This window comes from Homo sapiens, chromosome 6 (genome assembly GCF_000001405.40).
Source record: "Homo sapiens chromosome 6, GRCh38.p14 Primary Assembly".
NCBI classification, from domain to species: Eukaryota; Metazoa; Chordata; class Mammalia; order Primates; family Hominidae; genus Homo; species Homo sapiens.
Genome location: NC_000006.12, coordinates 49,529,836 through 49,549,442, shown reverse-complemented (window position 1 = coordinate 49,549,442; position 19,607 = coordinate 49,529,836).

The following is a 19,607-nucleotide window of genomic DNA, read 5'->3' as shown; positions in this document are numbered from 1 at the left end:
CCGGGGAGGCTAGGTCATAGAAAAAGAGCTCAGTTTGTGGTTTCCAGTTCATCCTTAGCTGTTTGTTTTATTAAAAAACCCACTGATGGCTGGGTGTGGTGGTTCACACCTGTAGCCCCATCATTTTGGAAGTCTGAGGCCGGTGGATCACTTGATGCCAGGAGTTTGAGACCAGCCTGGTCAGCATGGTGAAACCCAGTCTCTACAAAAAGTACAAAAATTAGTCAGGCATGGTGGTACACACATGTAAGTAATCCCAGCTACTTGGGATGCTGAGGCACCAAATCGCTTGAACGGGAGAGGGGGAGGTTGCAGTGAGCCAAGATCATACCACTGCTCTCTAGTGTGGGTGTTAGAGCAAGAATCTGTCAAAAAAAAAAAGAAAAAGAAAAAAAAAGAAAGGAAAGAAAGAGAAATCTAAATCCTGCCTGATTTAGAAAAATGAGTGCAATGGTGAAAAATTCTGCCCATATGTAAAAAACAAAGTAGTATAGTGAGATATTTGGAAAGGGAGGACTTTTGATATCTGCCAAATCATATAAAGAAATAAAGTGATAGAGGAGGAGTGAGAAAATCTGGGTCAGACCTGGGTGATTAGAAGCCTGACCTTAGTGGGCACAGCGGCGCCTACTGGTAATCCCAGCTGCTTGGGAGATTGAGGTGGGAGGGTGTCTTGAGCCTAGGAGTTGGAATCTGGCCTGCACCATATGGTGAGACCTCTGTCTCTTCAACAACAAAAACAACCAAAAAATATACATGCCTGACCTTGGGCTGGTTTCTCCTCAATCACAATGAGCTCAAATTTTTGAGTGTCTTAGCCAAGAATTGTTCTAAGCACTCTATATATTTAAACACATTTATTCTTCACAATAAACTGTGAAAGTAGTAGTATTTCTTTGGTCTCCTTGAAATCTTTGAAGCACAAAGAGGTTAAGTGTGTGCCCAAGGTCAAACACCAATAAACAGTGGAGCCAAGATTCTAACTTATTTAAATGCTTGCTCCAAAATGACTTCTAAATTACCTTCATATTTTAAGCCTGTGACTTCATGTTCTTTTCTATTCATTTACATAACCACTAATTACTAACTATATGCTACTCTTCTAGGTGATAGAGACATCTGGAGGAACAAACCAAATTGCTTATCCTCTTAAAGATTTTATTTATTTATTTATTTACTTATTTATTTGAGACAGAGTTTCACTCTTGTTGCCCAGGCTGGAGTACAATGGCACCATCTCAGCTCACTGCAACCTCCACCTCCAAGGTTCAAGCAATTCTCCTGCCTCAGCCCCCTGAGTAAGCTGGGATTACAGGTATGTGCCACCACACCTGGCTAATTTTGTATTTTTTGTAGAGACGGACTTTTACCATGTTGGCCAGGCTAGTCTCAAACTCCTGACCTCAGATGATCCACCCACCTTGGCCTCCCAAAGTGCTGGGATTACAGGCATGAGCCACCACATCCGGCCTAAAGTTGTTATTCTTATATATGCAGTAACATACATCAATCCTCTGTTCAGAACTAGGAGATAATCAATTAACCTTAATATACATGAAAATTACCTGCAGCTCAAGTCTTACCCTCCTTACAAAGATTCTGTTCTTATAGGTTTGGGGTAGAGATTAGGATACAGATTTTTAGCAAATCCCTCAGTAATTCTAACCTAGTGGTTTATGGACATTATGAGAAGCATTTCCAAAAATATGTATAGATAAACTCTAACACTTTTTTGCTTATTTAGAGTTGCAACAAGAATACTATATTTTCTTTCCTTGAAGAATATTGGGAGAATTCCAATAAGGTATCTGTATTTTAAGGGAAATATAATGTAAACCACAACATTTATTGCTTTCAAATAGTTTTCTTGCCATTGTGGATTGCATGAGATATTAGAGTAGGGGGATGAGAAAAGAGGAAAAGTTATTTGCTGAAGAATGAAGCAGACTCATTTGTCATATTGCACTTGAATTTCTAGATGTCAAGAAGTTATGTATTAATGCATGAAAGAACATGAAGGGGAAATGCTAAATAAATCAATCTTCAAAAAGGTAAAGTCTAAAAAGAATATCAACCAGAAAAACAGGCAGCTTGCCTCAAGGATAGTGGTGTCTGTTGTGCATTAATATCTCAAAGTGCCTAAAAGACTGATAGAGGACACTAAAGTGAACCCATTTACTTCCTCTCTGATGTGCCCATTATAGCTGCAAATATGCAGGCCAATGAGGGGTAATAAAGAAATTTATATTTCTGGGATCTGTAAAATTATTGGGGATCATCAGCACATGCTCTGCCCTGGTAGGGCCAAAAGAAGAAGACTTTAATTAATAGCCCAATCTAACCAAAGACCAGTCCCTCTTATTTTGCCTATTAGAACTAGAACTTATTTTACATACTTATGACACTCTCAATCATTTGAGCAATTCTGCCTTCCGAAGGTTTACTCTCCACTTGCAGACCTCTGCCTTTAATTTACAACTGTAGCAATATTTCATAGCTTATTTTTCCCCAATCAGATATAACATTCTTGAGTTGAAAAACTTGTCTATTCAACAGTTTTTAACTTCTGAGAAAGCAAAAAGTGGCCCTTCAGGTGGCCAGGCCATGGTGATCCCAACTGAACATTATCAAAACTCAGAATAGAAGCATCGTTTATATAAAACCACTCTGTGACCATGTTTGGAACAAGACAGACAAGAACACTAAAAACCGTAAAGAAGATTAAACATCCCCCTCTTATAGCTAACAGAAGTGACTATCAATCCTTTACTAATGATACTTCTGGTCTACATCTACTTTAATCCTCTCCTTTCCTAGATAAAAGTCACCAAGGTACCCTATCACGGAGTTGATCCCAGTTCTTGACAACATCTAATGCAGCACTGGCTCCTGCTTCCTTAAATCTTATTTAGGACTATCATCTCTAGTCCAAATCCTATACAAAGCCTCTCCCAAATCCACTTAGTGAATTATCCCATAATTACTCAAGGGTGCATTCTTAGCTGCTGAAGCAAGAAAAATAAACCTAACTTATTTTTCTTTAGTACAGGAGTGTTCCTGCTGGTCTTTGTTTACTAAAATGTAAAACTTGTCAATTTAGAAAGCATATAATGTTGTACTCCCAAATGAAGTAGATACATACATTGTGGGTAGAAAGTGAGGGGGACACATTGGAGCAGGAATGGATTTGTAGTTACTTGGTTACAATCAGCTTGAAGTGGCTGATTAAGAAATGCGGCAATGCATCAATTGAATACATATATCAATCAAATAAAACAATACATTAATAGGATTTTACTTTTAAGTGGGAAATACAGAGTTGTAGCAAGTAGAAGGACAAAGAAGAACTCTTCTATTTAAGCATATTAGCTACAGTTTTTGTTTCTGTATCTGGTTGTAGAGTTAATGTGACACTCTATGAGTCTATACAATATTGGCAGATTAGTTGTCCATTAGTGCTTTTGGCAACAGAATTCACAATTCAGACAAGAGTCTTTCAGCAAAGACTCTTAGGCCCACTTACTCTTATTAGGTCAGTTGATAAATAAATATATTCAGATAATATTTTTCATCTTTAGAGATAAATGAGCCTGCCATGTTATGACAGGTTGTGCTCACTCACATATCAATTTCATCAAGAAATAGATTAGTGGTTGTTCTCAACTGTGGTTGTACATGAAGTTCAGGCCTCACCTGATACTATTTGATCAGACTGAATGAGGGGGTGCAGGCAAGACCATTTTTTGCACCACCCCATCTGAAATGATCAACGCGTAACTAAGATTAAGGACCATTTCGTAGGCTAAGTGTGATGGCTCATGCCTGTAATCCCAACACTTTGGGAGGCCGAGGTGGGCAGATCACTTGAGACCAAGAGTTGGAGATCGACCTGGCCAACATGATGAAACTGCATCTCTGCTAAAAAATACAAAAAAATTAGCCAGGTGCTGTGGTGCACACTGGGAGTCCCAGCAGCTACTCGGGAGGCTGAGGCATGAGAATCACTTGAACCTGGGAGGCGGAGGTTGCAGTGAGCTGAGATGACACCATTGCACTCCAGCCTTGGCAACAAAGCGAGACTCTACCACAAAAAAAAAAAAAAAAAAAAAAATGGATAATAAACCTTCTTTGCATAAAGAAGCTCATTAATTGTTTGCTAGATATGCACCCATCCTATATAACTACATTATTCTTGTTAAGTAAATGCAAAAATTTCTGTAACTAGAGTTTATAATCAGGTTGGGGGAACAAAACTAATAGACATAAAACAGCCAAATTTTCCAACTTGTAAATAAGATTGAATTACTTCAGTAATTTTCACATTTGGCTGTGCACCGAAATCACCTAGGGGAATATTTGTAAACAAAAATGTTATTTGGCTTCCTCTGAGCGGTTTGGATGTAATTGGCGGGGAGTGGACCTTAGGACACTGGCATTTTAAAAATCTGCTCAGATGATTCTAATATGCCACCAAGTCTGACAACCACCAAATTAGATTACCTTTAAGGTTATTAAATAAGGAAAAATTAAGAACAACATGTATATTTGGGACCACAATTTACTAAAGGGAATTTAAAGTAATGAAATTTAGTAAAGGAAAGAAAGTGGTGAGAGCTAGAGTAGTTGAGACAGGCTTCTTGGAAACAGGGAAATTCTGTCTGTATGGTTTGGATACTTTAGTTGGAAGCTACAGAAACCAAAGGCTATGTACTGAATGATAACCCCCCAAAGTTCCTAGGTTGAAACTCTGCCCCGCAGTGTGAATGTATCAGGAGCTAGGGTTTTTTTTAATGTGATAATAAGGTTAAATGAGGTAATAAGAGTAGTGACTTTAATCCCACAGGACTGTGACCTTAGAAGAGGGGAAGAGAGATTGTTCTCAAGGAAGAAAATCCCAAACCATGCTGACCCTTTGCTCTCAGACTTCCAGTCTCCAAAAACTGTAAGAAAATAAATTTCTGCTGTTTAAGCCATGCAATCTATGGTATTTTATTATGGAGCAGCCTGAGCTAATATACCAACTCTAATTCAGTTAAGGAAAATAGACTTAACTAATATAAGGATATTAGTAGCTCACAGGTTTGTTGGGGAAGCAGATGTAGCAGACTTTAACATAGGTAAAAAGGAAAGTTCTTGCAGATAATATTGCAGGAGAAGTCTCTGCAGTGGAAGCAGATTCCATCACTAGGCTGAATAAACTCTTTTTTTTTTTTTTTTTTTTTGAGACAGGGTTTTGCTCTGTTGTCCAGGCTGGAGTACAGTGATGCTATCGTGGCTCACTGCAGCCTCGACCTCCCCAGCTCAAGCAATCCTCCCACCTCAGCCTCCCTAATAGCTGTGTCTAAAGTGCACACCACCATGCCCAGCTAATTTTTGTGTTTTTCATAGACAGGGATTTGCCATGTTGGCCAGGATGGTCTCAAACTCCTAGGCCCAAGTGATCTACCCGCCTCAGCCTCCCAGAGTCCTGCGATTACAGGCATAAACCACCATGCCCAATAAATAAACTTGAACTCTCTCACTTGTCTTTGAGGCATTTAGGAAACAAAATCCCACTCAGAGGTATCCACTTGGCTGAGTTTATACCACCTGCTTACCCTTTGATAATACAGGACAATAAAAGAAAAGATATAGTCAAAAAAACTTTGGGGACCTCTTTGGCTTCTATAATGGAAAAGCACTCAGCTGAACAACAAATCCGTACAATACATTAGAAGTAGAATTTTGATATGGAAGTGACAAATAGGGTATTCTGAACAAAGCAACATTTTAAGCTATGATGCAATGGAGGCATATGAATAGAGCAATTTTGTTCTTGATATTTCTTTTATCATAAATCTAAAATACTCTCCATGATTTTAACTATCTCCATAGCTTCAACTGCAACCTGTACACTGATGATTCTCCAATTTATATTTCTATTCTAGACCATGCCGCTTACCTCTAGACTAGACTTGTGGTAGATTATATTATTGTCTCCAATTATTTACTTCCTCTTCCTGAAGGAGGATCATACTTATGAGCTTGTTTTTTATGTGATTTGCAATGCTTCCTCTATACAAATACACTTGCCCATTCCACTGATGTTGACATTGGTCATGTGACTTGCTGCAGCGTATAGGATGTAAGCAGATGTGACATTGGATGCATCTGAGCAGAAGTTTAAAGAGTCATTGCAAGGTTGGCTCTGGGAATGCCCCATATCACGGCTGCTATCTTGGCCATAATCCCAGAATGAAGACAACACACAGAACAAAGCTGAGTAGAATCGTGAAGCTGCGGCAGCTGATATGTATTTTGAGCATGAAGTAAACTTTTGTCGTTGAAAACCAATGAAATTTTGGGATTGTTTCTTATCACAGTCTAATGTAGCGAAAAATGTTTCACTGAGTTTTCTACTGGACTCTTTTCTGAGGGTTCTGCAGTCACTCTAAATCCAAAATCTCTAAAATTGAATTTATCATTACTTAAATTTGTCTTCTCTTTCTGCATTCCTTATTCTCAAAAATTACATAACTGGAAACTGTATGATCTTCCCTTTCTCTCAGAGGTTATCTGTATCCCGTATATCTAATACTAAGCCAAGTGCTATAGATCCCACTTACAAATTATTTATTTATTTATTTATTCATTTATTTATTTATTTTTGAGATGGAGTCTCACTCTGTCACCCAGGCTGGAGTGCAGTGACATGATCTCAGCTCACTGCAACCTCCACCTCCCAGGTTCAAGCGATTCTCCTGCCCCAGCCTCCTGAGTAGCTGGGATTACAGGAAGGCACTGCCATGCCTGGCTAATTTTTGTATCGTTAGAAGAGATGGGGTTTCACCATGTTGGCCAGGCTGATCTCTAACTCCTGAGCTCAGGAGATCCACCTGCCTCAGCCTCCCAAAGTGCTGGGATTACAGGCATGAGCCACTGTGCTTAGCCGTAAAATATTTTTTCTTTTCTATCCCTTCTTCTTCAATCCCTGAAGCTACAAAAATAAAGTCAAACTTTTAGACATGGCATAAAAGAGCTTCATAATCCTACCCTAAATGGTTATTATATATGGTTGAAGGTGAATAAACATTAATAAAAAGAATAAACAAACAGCCTAAATGAACACAAAGCACAGGTTTGAGGATAGAGTGAGATTACTCTAAATAAACAAAATTTAACCTGATTATGGACCGACATTAAAAACAGCAAGCCTTTAAAATGAGATCTTAATCATATTTCCTCTTATAATTAAGGTTTTCATGACCTGGATAACACAGCCTATGCAAAGAAAAACACCTGGCTATTTTTCTGGACTGAGTCAGGAGACTTGAACGGGTCACGTTACCTTGGCAAGTCTCCCTATGTTCTCATCTCTGAGGTATAAAGAATACCAGCCTTGCTTTCTTCCCAGTGTTATTATGGAGTTCAGCTGAAACAATTCTTCTGATAACTCTTTGTAAACTCTAAAACCTGTAAACAAATTTTAAAATTTAATTTTTAAAGTTCATTGTTCTTTAGAATTGTGGACCCAAAGCATAGTTTTTGATGAGGTCCTCAGGGAAAGATGTAGAAGTCAAGGACTTAAGCTAGATAATGAGAATCAGACTCGTAATTTTTGGGTAGAAGAGAAAATGTTGGAAGTTACAAATTTAGGGGGAAAAAGGAAAAGAGGGAGAGCGGCAATACTGTAAATATCCCCAGTGGTCTGAGATTAAATGGAAAGTGAAGTAACTGTTTTAAAAAGGTTTCTTCAGCTTAAATTTTGAGTGACTAATATCTTTCTTTTTTCCTGGGAAAAGATAAAAGAGGCTTAAGTTTACTTAGCATGTGGCCCTGAGACTCTCTCTCTCTCTTTTTTCTCTCTCAAAAGCACTTTCATTCCAAAGAGATGTGGCAACTCCTAAATGATGCTGGCAAGACATTTTGAAATTGCAGGTTAAAAGACAAAGAATATGAGGTTAGCTAGATAACTGCAAAGGATGACTCATGTAGTACTCTGATTAGTTGTTGCTTTAATGGGATTTTAAAAGTGTAATTCCGTGTCAGCTGCCTGCATTATCCAAAGTTTTAAAGTATATTCATCATCATTCTCTCCTGTCAGAGAACAAGATTTAAGATGAGGCTCTCTGACTGAGTTTGAATAAGCAAATTACTAAACAGGAAATTGCATCACCAGTAACTGAGTCAGCATTTAATGATGATAATAAAAAACCACTTTAGCCCATATCCATCTTGAGCACAAACAAAAGTTTACCTCTCCAATAGACAGAATTTAATCTTTGACTCAATATCAGTTAATATTAAATATTTCAAATAAAACAATCACTCATTATAGTTATAAAGAAAAGGTCACAATCAATATCAAACCTGGATTAGATAATAATTTAAAAATTTTTAAAAGATCAAGGCAATTTTTCCTCCAATTATATTATTACATAATCAATGTACAAGATCAAATTAGGTTATAACAACTGGAGGAATCTTCAATAATATATTATATCCACAGAGGCTTCATTTTCCAAATATTTAGCTCCATGTGAAGACATACAAATGTGCTATGTTATATCAACAAAGCAAAGAGTGGGTGGGTGGAAAATACTGTCTGTTGTTTGGCAGGTTTGCAAACAAGTTGATCTGGAATGTCCATGAAGTCAAAGAAACTGTTAGTAATAATCCTTCATTATCTTATATATACTTCATAATTCATCCCTCAAGGGCAAGGCTTGGGAAAAATGGCAAGGCAGGCTGAGTTGTGGTCATTGAGTTGGTCATTAATCAATTCTGCTCCTTACTTCTACTCCTCCTTCTTTCTTTACCTCTTTGTTAAGGATAAACTTGTATTATTTGCTTGTTTTCTTTCTTTTTCCTTTTTCCTTTTTTTTTTTTTTCTCTTGAGACAGAGTCTTGCTCTGTTGTCAGGCTGGAGTGCAATGGCACAATCTTGGCTCACTGCAACCTCCGCCTCCCGAGTTCAAGCGGTTCTCCTGTCTCAGCCTCCTGAGTAGCTGGGACTATAGGCACATGCCACCAGGCCCAGCTAATTTTTGTATTTTAGTAGAGATGGAGTTTCACCATGTTGGCCAGGATGGTCTTGATCTCTTGACCTTGTGTCCCACCCACCTCAGCCTCCCAAAGTGCTGGGATTACAGGCGTGAGCCACCGTGCCCGGTCCCTTTTAAAAAAAAAAAATGAAAAAAAATGAAAAAAAAGACAGGGTCTCACTCTGTTGCCCAGGCTGCAGTGCAGTGGCACTGTCATGCTCACTGCAGCCTTGGCCTTGCAGGCTCAAGTGTTCCTGCCTCAGCCTCCTGTGTAGCTGGGAATACAGGTGTGAGCCATGACACCCAGGTAATTTGCTGTAGTGATAAAATGTTCCTATATTGTCCCGGCTGGTCTCAAAGTCCTGGCCTCAAGCAATCCTTCTACCACAGTCTCCCAAAGTTTTGGGATTGCAGGCATGAGCCACTGAACACAGCTATTTTCTTACTTTCTATACTATAATTTTATTAAGAAAACCATGGAATTAGCCCTCTCTCAGTTAAATACTGATAGCAATCTTTTCCTCTGGCTGTGATTTACATCTGTTTTACTCTTTCTCTGTAATTTCTCACTGTCCCCTCCTCCTCCATTTTTATTTATTTATTTTTATTATTTATTTATTTATTTTAGTTTTTATGTAATCCTTCCTAATCCATTTTTCCATTTTGTGCTGCCACAACAGAACAGCACAGAATAGGCAATATACAATTAATAGAAATCTATTGGCTCATGGTTTGGAGGCTGGAAAGTCTAAGACTGAGGGGCCAGTATCTGGCAAGGGCCTTCTTGCTGCATCAGCTGACAGGAAAAAGTAGAAGGGCAAGAAAGAGGAGAGTACAGGGGGCCAAACTTCCTCTTTAATAATAAACCCACTTCCTCAATAAGAATATTCATCCGTTCATGAAGGCAGAGCCCTCATGGCCTGATCATCTCTTCTTAGGCCACACCGCCCAACACTGTTGCATTGGGAATTACATTTCCAACACATACTTTCTGGGGGACACATTGAAACCACAGCAGAATCCCTTCCTTACTTCCTAATGTGGTGTAGTGCAGAATTCAATAGTGAATGGTAGAGCCAAACTCCCTAGATGCAATTCCTACCTCTGCTACATGCTAGTTGCGTAATCATGGGCAGGATACTTACCTTCTCTTTGCCTTAGTTTCATCACATGAAAAAGTAGGTGAAGAAGAGTACAAATCTCATAAAGTGAGATAATAAATGTAAAGCCCCTAGAATAGTGCCTAGGTAGGCCTTTTTTTTCCTAGAACGAAAGTGGGGATTTTTGTTTCTTTTGTTCACTGCAGTTTAACCATTATCACTCTATCTCTAATACCTAGAAGAGTGCCTGATACAATTGTTTATTTTCTCTTCCTCATTATTATTATTAATTATTATTATTATTTGTTGTAGAGATGGGTCTCACTGTGTTGCTCAGGCTGGTCTCAAACTCCTGGCTTCAAGTGATCCTCCCAACTCAGCCTCCCTAAATTGCTAGGATTATAAGCATGAGCCACAGCACTCAGCCTGACACAATTGTTGAATTAATTAATTTGTCACTTTCCTCCTTATTTCTATCGTATTTATCTTACTATTTCTTTTCTCTTTGGAGCTTTGCTTCCTCTTTCCTCTGTGATTCATCTTTGTTCTACTGCATTTTTTCCTTCTTAGGTTTCTATCATCTACTGCTAACACTTTTTCTTTTATGTCTGTGTTTAAGGTTTTTGAAAAGAATAAAACATTAAAAAATCAATATTTATTAATAATTAGTAGTCATAAGGTTAATGATGAAGAGATAGAGAAAGAAGAACTCCTTAGTCAAGGAAAACTAAAAATAAAATACCATTTTTAGTGTATTATTTTATATTACATTTGTGATGACTTCTATTTCAGTCTTTTGTACATATTAATCTGCTACTTTTTATCAATAGCTTTAGTTTGGCTCAAACATAACAATAGTTCAAATAATGATATAATAAATAGTTCTATAACATTGATCTGGATTCATTAATTATTAATATTTTATCATTAAAATACTTTATTTCACATCTCTCCCCATCTCCCACCCTCCCTTACACATACAACCATGTATACATCCCTTCACTAAGAACAATTTGAAATTATTACAGATGCCACGTTTACCATTAAATACTCAAGGATGAATTAAAAAAATAAATTTCTATGTAACCACTACCATATTATACGTAAGAAAGTTAACACTAATCCAATAATATCATTTAATATGGAGTCCATATTTAATTTTTTACAGTGGTCCCCAAAAAGTGTATTTTAGATTTTATTCTCCTGCAGGTTTATAAATTACAGTTGGTTAAGAATCCTTAGTTCCCTATAATCTAGAATGAAGGAAGCATTCAATTTTTTATGACATTGACTATTTTTATGAGTTCAGGCCAATTGTCTAATAGAATGTTCCACCTTTTGAATTTTTCTGATTAGATTCTGCTTAAACACTTTAGACAAGAATTCTACATAGGCAACATATGGCACTTCTCATTGCATCATATCAGAAGACTCACGGTATTAGGTTGTTCTACCACTACTAATGCTAATTTGAATACTTAAGATGATAATTACTAGATATCCCATTATAAAGGTACATTTTACCCTTTGCAATTAATAAATAACCTGTGAGATTAGAGTTTGACACTATGTTATCCTGTTTCCCAATAGCCACTCATGCACTGACTTAACCATCCATTGATAATCCTTTCCTGAATCAATTATTAAACTGAGTTCTTTGAAATGGGAATTTTCTAATTTTGTCATTCCTTCTTCATTTCTTAGTAGATATTCTTCTATAAAGAAGAGCTGTTGGGCCCGGTGCTGTGGCTCACGCCTATAATCCCAGCACTTTGAGAGGCCAAGGTGAGCAGATGGCTTGAGCCTAGGAGTTTGAGACCAGCCTGGGCAACATGGAGAAACCCCATCTGTACTAAAAATACAGAAGTTAACCAGGGAGTAGTGGCAGTGCCTATACTCTCAGCTACTTTGGAGGTTCAGATGGGAGGATCACTTGAGCCTGGGAGGTTGAGGCTGCCATGAGCTGTGATTGTGTCCTTGCACTCCAGCCCCAGCGACAGAGCAAAAACCCGTCTCCAAATTATAAAAGAAAAGAAGTTTTTTGCTTGCTACCTATCCTACCCCTGCTTTTATATCATTGTGGACATAAGTATTTTTTAAAAATCAGTCTGTTATTCATTGCCATTGTTGTTATTTTTGATGCTCAAATTATACTAAATTTGGCAAGTTAGAGTTCTGTTACACCAGTTTTGTTTACTTTTGACAAGATCACATTTAGTCCACACACTTCATTACTTTCTTTCTTTACTTTTTTTTCTTTTTCTTTCTTTCTTTTTTTTTTTTTTTTTTTTTTTTTTGAGACACAGTCTCCCTCTATCACTCAGGCTGGAGTGCGGTGATGCGATCACAGCTCACTGCAACCTCTGCCTCCCGGGTTCAAGTGATTCTCCTGCCTCAGCCTCCTGAGTAGTTGGGATTACAGACGTGTGCCACCATGCCCAACTAATTTTTGTATTTTTAGTAGAGACGGAGTTTCATCATGTTGGCTTGTCTGGTCTCGAAGGCATGACCTCAGGTCATCCACGTGCCTCAGCCTTCCAAAGTGTTAGGATTACAGGCTTGAGCCACTGCGCCCCGGCCCCCACTTTGTTACTTTCTTGCCCAAGATGATCTTTCCTTGCCAGGGACCTAGAAGTAGACTTTTTATCAAAAGTCTTACTCCTCCTAACATGTATTAGAAACAAAGATCTGGATACTAGGAATGGTCATTGTTTCTCAGGAGTAGTTGTAGGTCTTTTCAGTGGGTAGAACTAGGGAGTAGATATTATTTTTATTTTTTTGTTTTTCTGTTTTAATTTTTTTTAGAGACAGAGTCCCACTATGTTGCCCAGGTGGGTCTCAAACTCCTGGGCTCAAGCAATCATTCCTCCTTGGCCTCCTAAAGTGCTGGGATTACAGGCGTGAGCCACTGCACCCAGCCTGATATTATTTTTAATCACAGGTTTATACCTTGTTCAAAACTATGTAAAAGGGATATATTCAAGGGAGTGTGTCCTTAGTCCAATCTCCACTATTTATAGGTCATTTTTTGTTAAAAGTTTCTGATTTAATTTTTTTGAGTTGCTATTTGCAAAATAAGTAGAGATCTATGTTGATGTACGTGTTTCTTATTCTTGTGCACCTAGGTTTTTTTCATACTTAAAAATATCATGGAGAATAGTGCTCCATTGTGTGCACGTATCATAATCTATTCAACTAGATTATTAACCTTGGGAATTTAGGTTGTTTCCAAAAGTTGCAACTACAAATAATATATCAGCATGAATTACTTTGTGCAAACATTTGTTTTATATTCACGGGGGAAATCTCAGGGTAAATTCCTAGACATTGAATTGCTTGAGTAAATGCATACGTACTTTATTAGCTATTACTAAATTCCCCTCACTGGAAATGTAATACTTTATGTGCTCAGTACCAATGTATATATAGGCCAATTTTCCACAATTCGTCAGTATTTAATTTTCAAGATTTTTGACTGTGGCCATCTGATAGATTAGAAATCGTATCTCATTATAGTTTAAATAGCATTTTTCTGTTGAGTGAATTTAAGCATCTTTTCATATGATTAGCAGCCACTTTGTTTATATTTTTCTGTGAATTAACTATGTCACTTGCCCATTTTTCTGTTCGGTTTTAAATATTTTTCATCTCTCAATTTTTGGGACTGTTTACATGTTGTAGAAAATAGCGCTTTATCTCTGACATAAGTTGCTAATTGTTGCTCTTAGTTTGTCATTTGTATTGTTGCTGTAGCTATGCTGTTTTGCAATTGAACAATTACATACATGCACCATACATTTCTACTCAATGTACTGAGCTTAATTTTTTTCTTTTATTGCTTCTAAATTTGTTTTGGTTTGTAGTTTTTGTTATAACCTAGATATTATAACCTCATATCTAGGTTATAATAAAACAAACCCATGTTTTCTTTTAGTAAATGTGTGACTTCTTTTTTAAAGTATTTGTTTATTTATTTTTTATTTTTATTTTTATTTTAGACAAGGTCTTGCTCTGTTGCCCAGGCTGGAGTGCAGTGGCACAATCACAGATCACTGCAGCTTCTCCCTTCCAGGCTCAAGCAATCTTCTTGCCTCAGCCCCCCGAGTAGCTAGGACTACAGGCACACACCACCATACCTGGCTAATTTTTTAAAACAATTTTTTTTTGTAGAGACTAGAGTCTAACTATGTTGCCCAGGTTGGTCTTGAACTCCTGAGCTTAGGCAATCCTCCTGCCTCAGCTTCTCAAAATGCTGGGATTGCAGGTATGAGCCACCTTGCACTTTTAAATTATTTTATACCTTGGATTAATTTGGAATTCATTGTGGTATAGAGTGTGAGTTATGGATCCAATTTTATTTTACTTTTTTCAAATTACTGTACAGTTGTCTCATTATCATTTATTTAAAATAGCATTTTTACCCAGGTGATTTGAGATTACACTTTTATCTTTCTCTAAACTTTCCTAGCTATTTGTTGTTATTTCTGAACTTTTTTTCTGTCTTACTGTTCTGCATAATCATGTACCATTCTACATTGTTTAAAATTATAGAAGGTTTATAGTGTATTTTAATACTGGTGAGGTTAACCTATTCTTTTATCTTGCTGTTTCAGACTTTGTATTGCTACTCTTACCTATTTATTTTACATGTGAACTCTAGAATAAACTTATCTAGCCCCAGAAAGTCAAAAATTAAAAAAACTTGTATTTTCCCCATACAATTGACATATAATAAAGATAAACATAATGTTGAGTGTCCTATTCAAAAGAAGATATTTCCACAAATAATAGAACACTTTAAAAGAAACATCATTTTTCTACTTTTACCAATAAAACCAGCAAGTAAGGCAAAGTAGAACCGCTTCAGTATAAGACCTTGGATATCTTTTAATAAATAGGTAAGAACTAATTATGATGAACTCATTTGTGACTTGAACACATATGTTAATACTTAAGTCATTGCTATTAAAAAGGCTCATGTCTCTTATTTATAAATATTGCTTGGAAAACTTCTTAATAGTTAATAAATAAAATTAGACCAGTTCACATCACAAACCAAAATACATTTCTTATGTATTTAATTAAACACAAAACTTCAAACCACTAAATTTACATATAATAATGAAAAGCAAAAAAAATCAAACAATTAGATTTTTAGAACAAGACTTAAGTCACTGAATCTTGAGTGGAATACAATTTTTAGCATAATCATTAAAAAAAGAGGCAGGGGGCAATGGCTCATGACTGTAATCCCAGCACTTTGGGAGGCTGAGGTGGGCGGATCATGAGCTCAGGAGTTCCAGACCATCCTGGCCAACATGGTGAAACCCTGTCTCTACTAAAAATACAAAATTAGCCGGGCATGGTGGCACATGCCTGTAATTCCAGCTACTCGGGAGGCTGAGGCAGGAGAATCCGGGAGGCGGAGGTTGCAGTGAGCTGAAATCGTGCTACTGCACTCCAGCCTGGCGCCAGAGCAAGACTCTGTTTCAAAAAAAAAAAAAAAAAAAAAAAAAGAGGAAAAGAAAGAAAAATTGATATGGGGATCCAAAAGTGGGGAGAATGTGAGGAGGGATAATGTTGAAAATTTACCTATTAGATAAAATGTTCACTATTTGGGTTTTGGGTACATTGGAAGCTCAATCCTCCCCAGTATGCAATATACCCATGTAACAAACAAGCATATGTAGCTCCTGAATCTAAAATAAAATAAGAAAAATCTGTATGAACTAACATGAAAAGATACTCAAGCTATATTGTTGAGTTGAAAACTAAGTTGCAAAGCAATATACGATGTGATTCCACTTTATAAGTGACAAAGTATATTTATGTGTTTTTATTATGTAATATGCACACACAAACACATATGGAGAGAATTCTGGATGGATATATAAACTATTAACAATTGTTATTCTTGGAAAGTAGCAGGCATGAGAGATGAGAGACTAGAAACTCACTGTATACTTTATATGTATGTAGTTATATACTGTTCAATTTCAATTTTTGTAATAAAGATTTATTTCATGACATTTTAAAATAACTTTTTAAATTTTAAAATAAAGCAATGTAAAAATAAAAGTAAAAGATTGATAGAATAGAAATGTCAAATATTTAAAAGATTTAAAAGCATCATATCTAATATTCTATTACATGAATATTAGTCTATTACATGAATAAAAGTCTGAAATTTTTGCAGCAAATAACAAAGGGCCTTATATTCTCAATAGGTAAACAGTCTCTTGTAGTTAATGGTTTAAAAATACAGCAAGAATCTAGCAGGTATACAGAAATAATTTGTATCATTGCAAAAGAGTATTAAAAATGATGACAATAATCTTGCTAAAAATCGAAGACCCATAAATTCCAGTAAACATAAGTGCTCCCCTCCCAATCAAATTAGCAAGATCTTGTTATCCATCACTTACAATGTAAAACAATTGCTTGGCCAGGTGTGGTGGCTCACGCCTGTAATCCCAGCACTTTGGGAGGCCAAGGCGAGTGGATCACGAGGTCAGGAGATCGAGACTATCCTGACCAACATGGTGAAACCCCGTCTTTACTAAAACTACAAAAATCAGCTGGGTGTGGTGGTCCATGCCTGTAATCCCAGCTACTTGGGAGGCTGAGGCAGGAGAATTGCTTGAACCCGGGAGGTGGAGATTGCAGTGAGCCAAGATCGCGCCACTGTACTCCAGCCTGGCGACAGAGCGAGATTCTGCCTTAAAAAAGAAACAAACCAACAACAACAACAACAAAAAAAAAAAAAAAAAAGAAAAGAAAGAAAAAGAAAAAAGAACTACTCAGCTCTGGGACAGTGAGGTCAAATGGGATAGGTTGGCACAATCATTTGAAACAAATGTTACACATTATATGTTTAGATTTAAAAATGTTCATATCCTTTGATATAGTAGTTAAGCTTATAGGAATCTGCTGAAAGGAAATAGTTCAAAATGCGGCAAAAATTCTAATGAAATGTTTAGAAACAATTCAAGTGCGCCCTCTATTGGGAAATAATCTAGAAGTAAAATCTGACATCTAGTGTTCACTGCAATAACTACATAGTATTAACTGAATGTCTCATAGTCCTATCATAAGCAATGTCTTGTAACAAACAGTGTTTAAAACCTAAAGCATATTTTGCCTTGGAAACACATACACCTGTTGGTGGAAGGGAAAATTGCACATAAATTAGTAAGAGGAAAATTCAGACATTAGCTATGCGTTTTGTAATTTTTTAAGTCACTAGAGCAAGATTAAGAAGTGAACAAGTTGTCTCAAGGAAAAAATTTCCTCAAGTGGTGAACAAAATTGGGACAGTCCTGGGAACACATATGACACTAGAACTACTGAGGTGGGAGGGGGTAAGGAAAAAAGGAGACACTAGGAATGACTATCTTCCTTCTTTTATTCCATCCTTCAGGGCCAAGATCAGAAAAAGCAAAGTGTTATTAATGATTAGGTTTTATTGTTGGAGCTTGGATTGAGAACCCTGGGCTATGAGAAGCTTAGGAAATGTTAACTAGCCACACTGATGTAGAAAAAAAAATATGTATTTTATGTTTCTACTATCTTCATTTTCCCCACTGAAACAAATAATTTTAATCCAACCATTTCAGGCAAGAAGGAAGAAATAATATTTGTACTCCATGTTTTGTTACTCCATCTGCTACCTTTTACTTTCATTGTCATTTTTTCCTTGCCCCTAGTATTTATTGAGGTTAGAAAAAGGATACAAAATTTGAGGTGTATCAAGGACAGCTTAAGGAAATTTAATATATATTTATCTCATGTTCTTTCTGAAAATTCAAATCACTGAACAAAACTTAGTGACTAAAAAAATGCAAAATTAACAGAATCAAATCTTGTATTATTAAATGAGATTCTATTTTAGAGGCTGTATAAATGTTCCCCACAATTGCACTTCCCTCTCTTGCTCCCAAAGTTTGAGCAGTTGAATTTTCAGTTATTCCCCTCTATGTCTCTTCAGTGATTCTTAGGCAGACTGAATACTCATTCTTGCTAAAATATACAGATGCTTACAAAACCTAGTCAAGATTTATCCCAAACAGAGAAACACACGTCTCAGGAAGCTGAGCATGTTGCCTGTACTGACTCCCTTTATCATTATATCTAACCATAGCCACACCATAAAATACGTGCCACCATTTACCAACTTTTACCTTTAATAAAACCTATTAAACTGTCTTCAAAACTATTTACCTACATACTTGCCCCCTCTTTACCTTCACAGTTGAATTTCAAATGGATTACACATATTTTCTGTAATTGTTTTTGCATTTAGTGTTATTATGTACATCTTTTCTGTATCACCAAACCTAGTTTTCTAGTACTCCATAAAATTTCATCGAATGCTTGTACTATATTTAACCAGTGAATTACTTAAAATATTTAGGTTTTTTCACCTTTACACACAATGCTGTAATAAACATCCTTTTATACAAATCTTTGCATACTTTTATATTATACCAATATAAATTTTAAAAAGTGGGATTTTTATGTAATGGAAATATGCATTTTTTTTCCAGATTTCAGGCCTGTTTTTTATTAACGAATATTCCTTATTGCAGTACAACTTGCATACAGAAAAGTAGATATATCATAATTATATAGCTTGATAATCATATGCTCTAGGCCCTGACTCACAGGGGGCGAGGAGGAGGTGGTTAGTCATGCAGATTTGCCTATGGAAAGACTGAGCCCAGCAGGGAAGGGCCTGGCTAAGTCAGGGCTGGAGGGAACATACTTGTGTTACCAAGTGGAACACAGCTGTGTAACAAAGTGTTACAAAGTGAACACACCTTTGTAACCCACCCAAGTCAAGAATCAGAATATTACTGGAAATCCAGAAGCCATTTCATGTCCAGTTTTACTTACTATCCTTCTGAAGGGTAATTACTTCCTGACTTCTACAGATATAGATTCATTTTGCCTGGTTTTAAACTTTATAGAAACAGGATTATGCAATATGCAGTTTCTGGCTTCTTTTTGGTACATATGTTTAAAATATTTGAGAGTGAAATATGGAATGAAGATGTTTCATTCCTAATGTATTCTTGACCTCTCAGCATAATTTGACACCATTGACCATCCCTCCATTTTTAAATTTTTCTTCTTTCTCTTCCATGGGAGTCATCTCCTGGCTTTCCTCCTATCTTCTGGCTGCTCCTTCTCCTATTCCAGAGCCTTTCTTTTCCCTTGCCTTAAATAGTTGATGCATTTAAGGTTCAGTCCTAGACAACCTCAGCTAAATTCATGGCTTCTGTTATCATCTATATCAGTTATCTGTTATCTATATCTATATTTATATCTATATCTATATCTATATCTATATCTATATCTATATCTATATCTATATCTGTTATCATCTAAGTCAATACATCTATCCCAAATAAATTCTCTGAGATTTAGACTCAAATATCCAACTTGGTCCCATCACTTGCATGTTTCAAAACTCAACATCCCA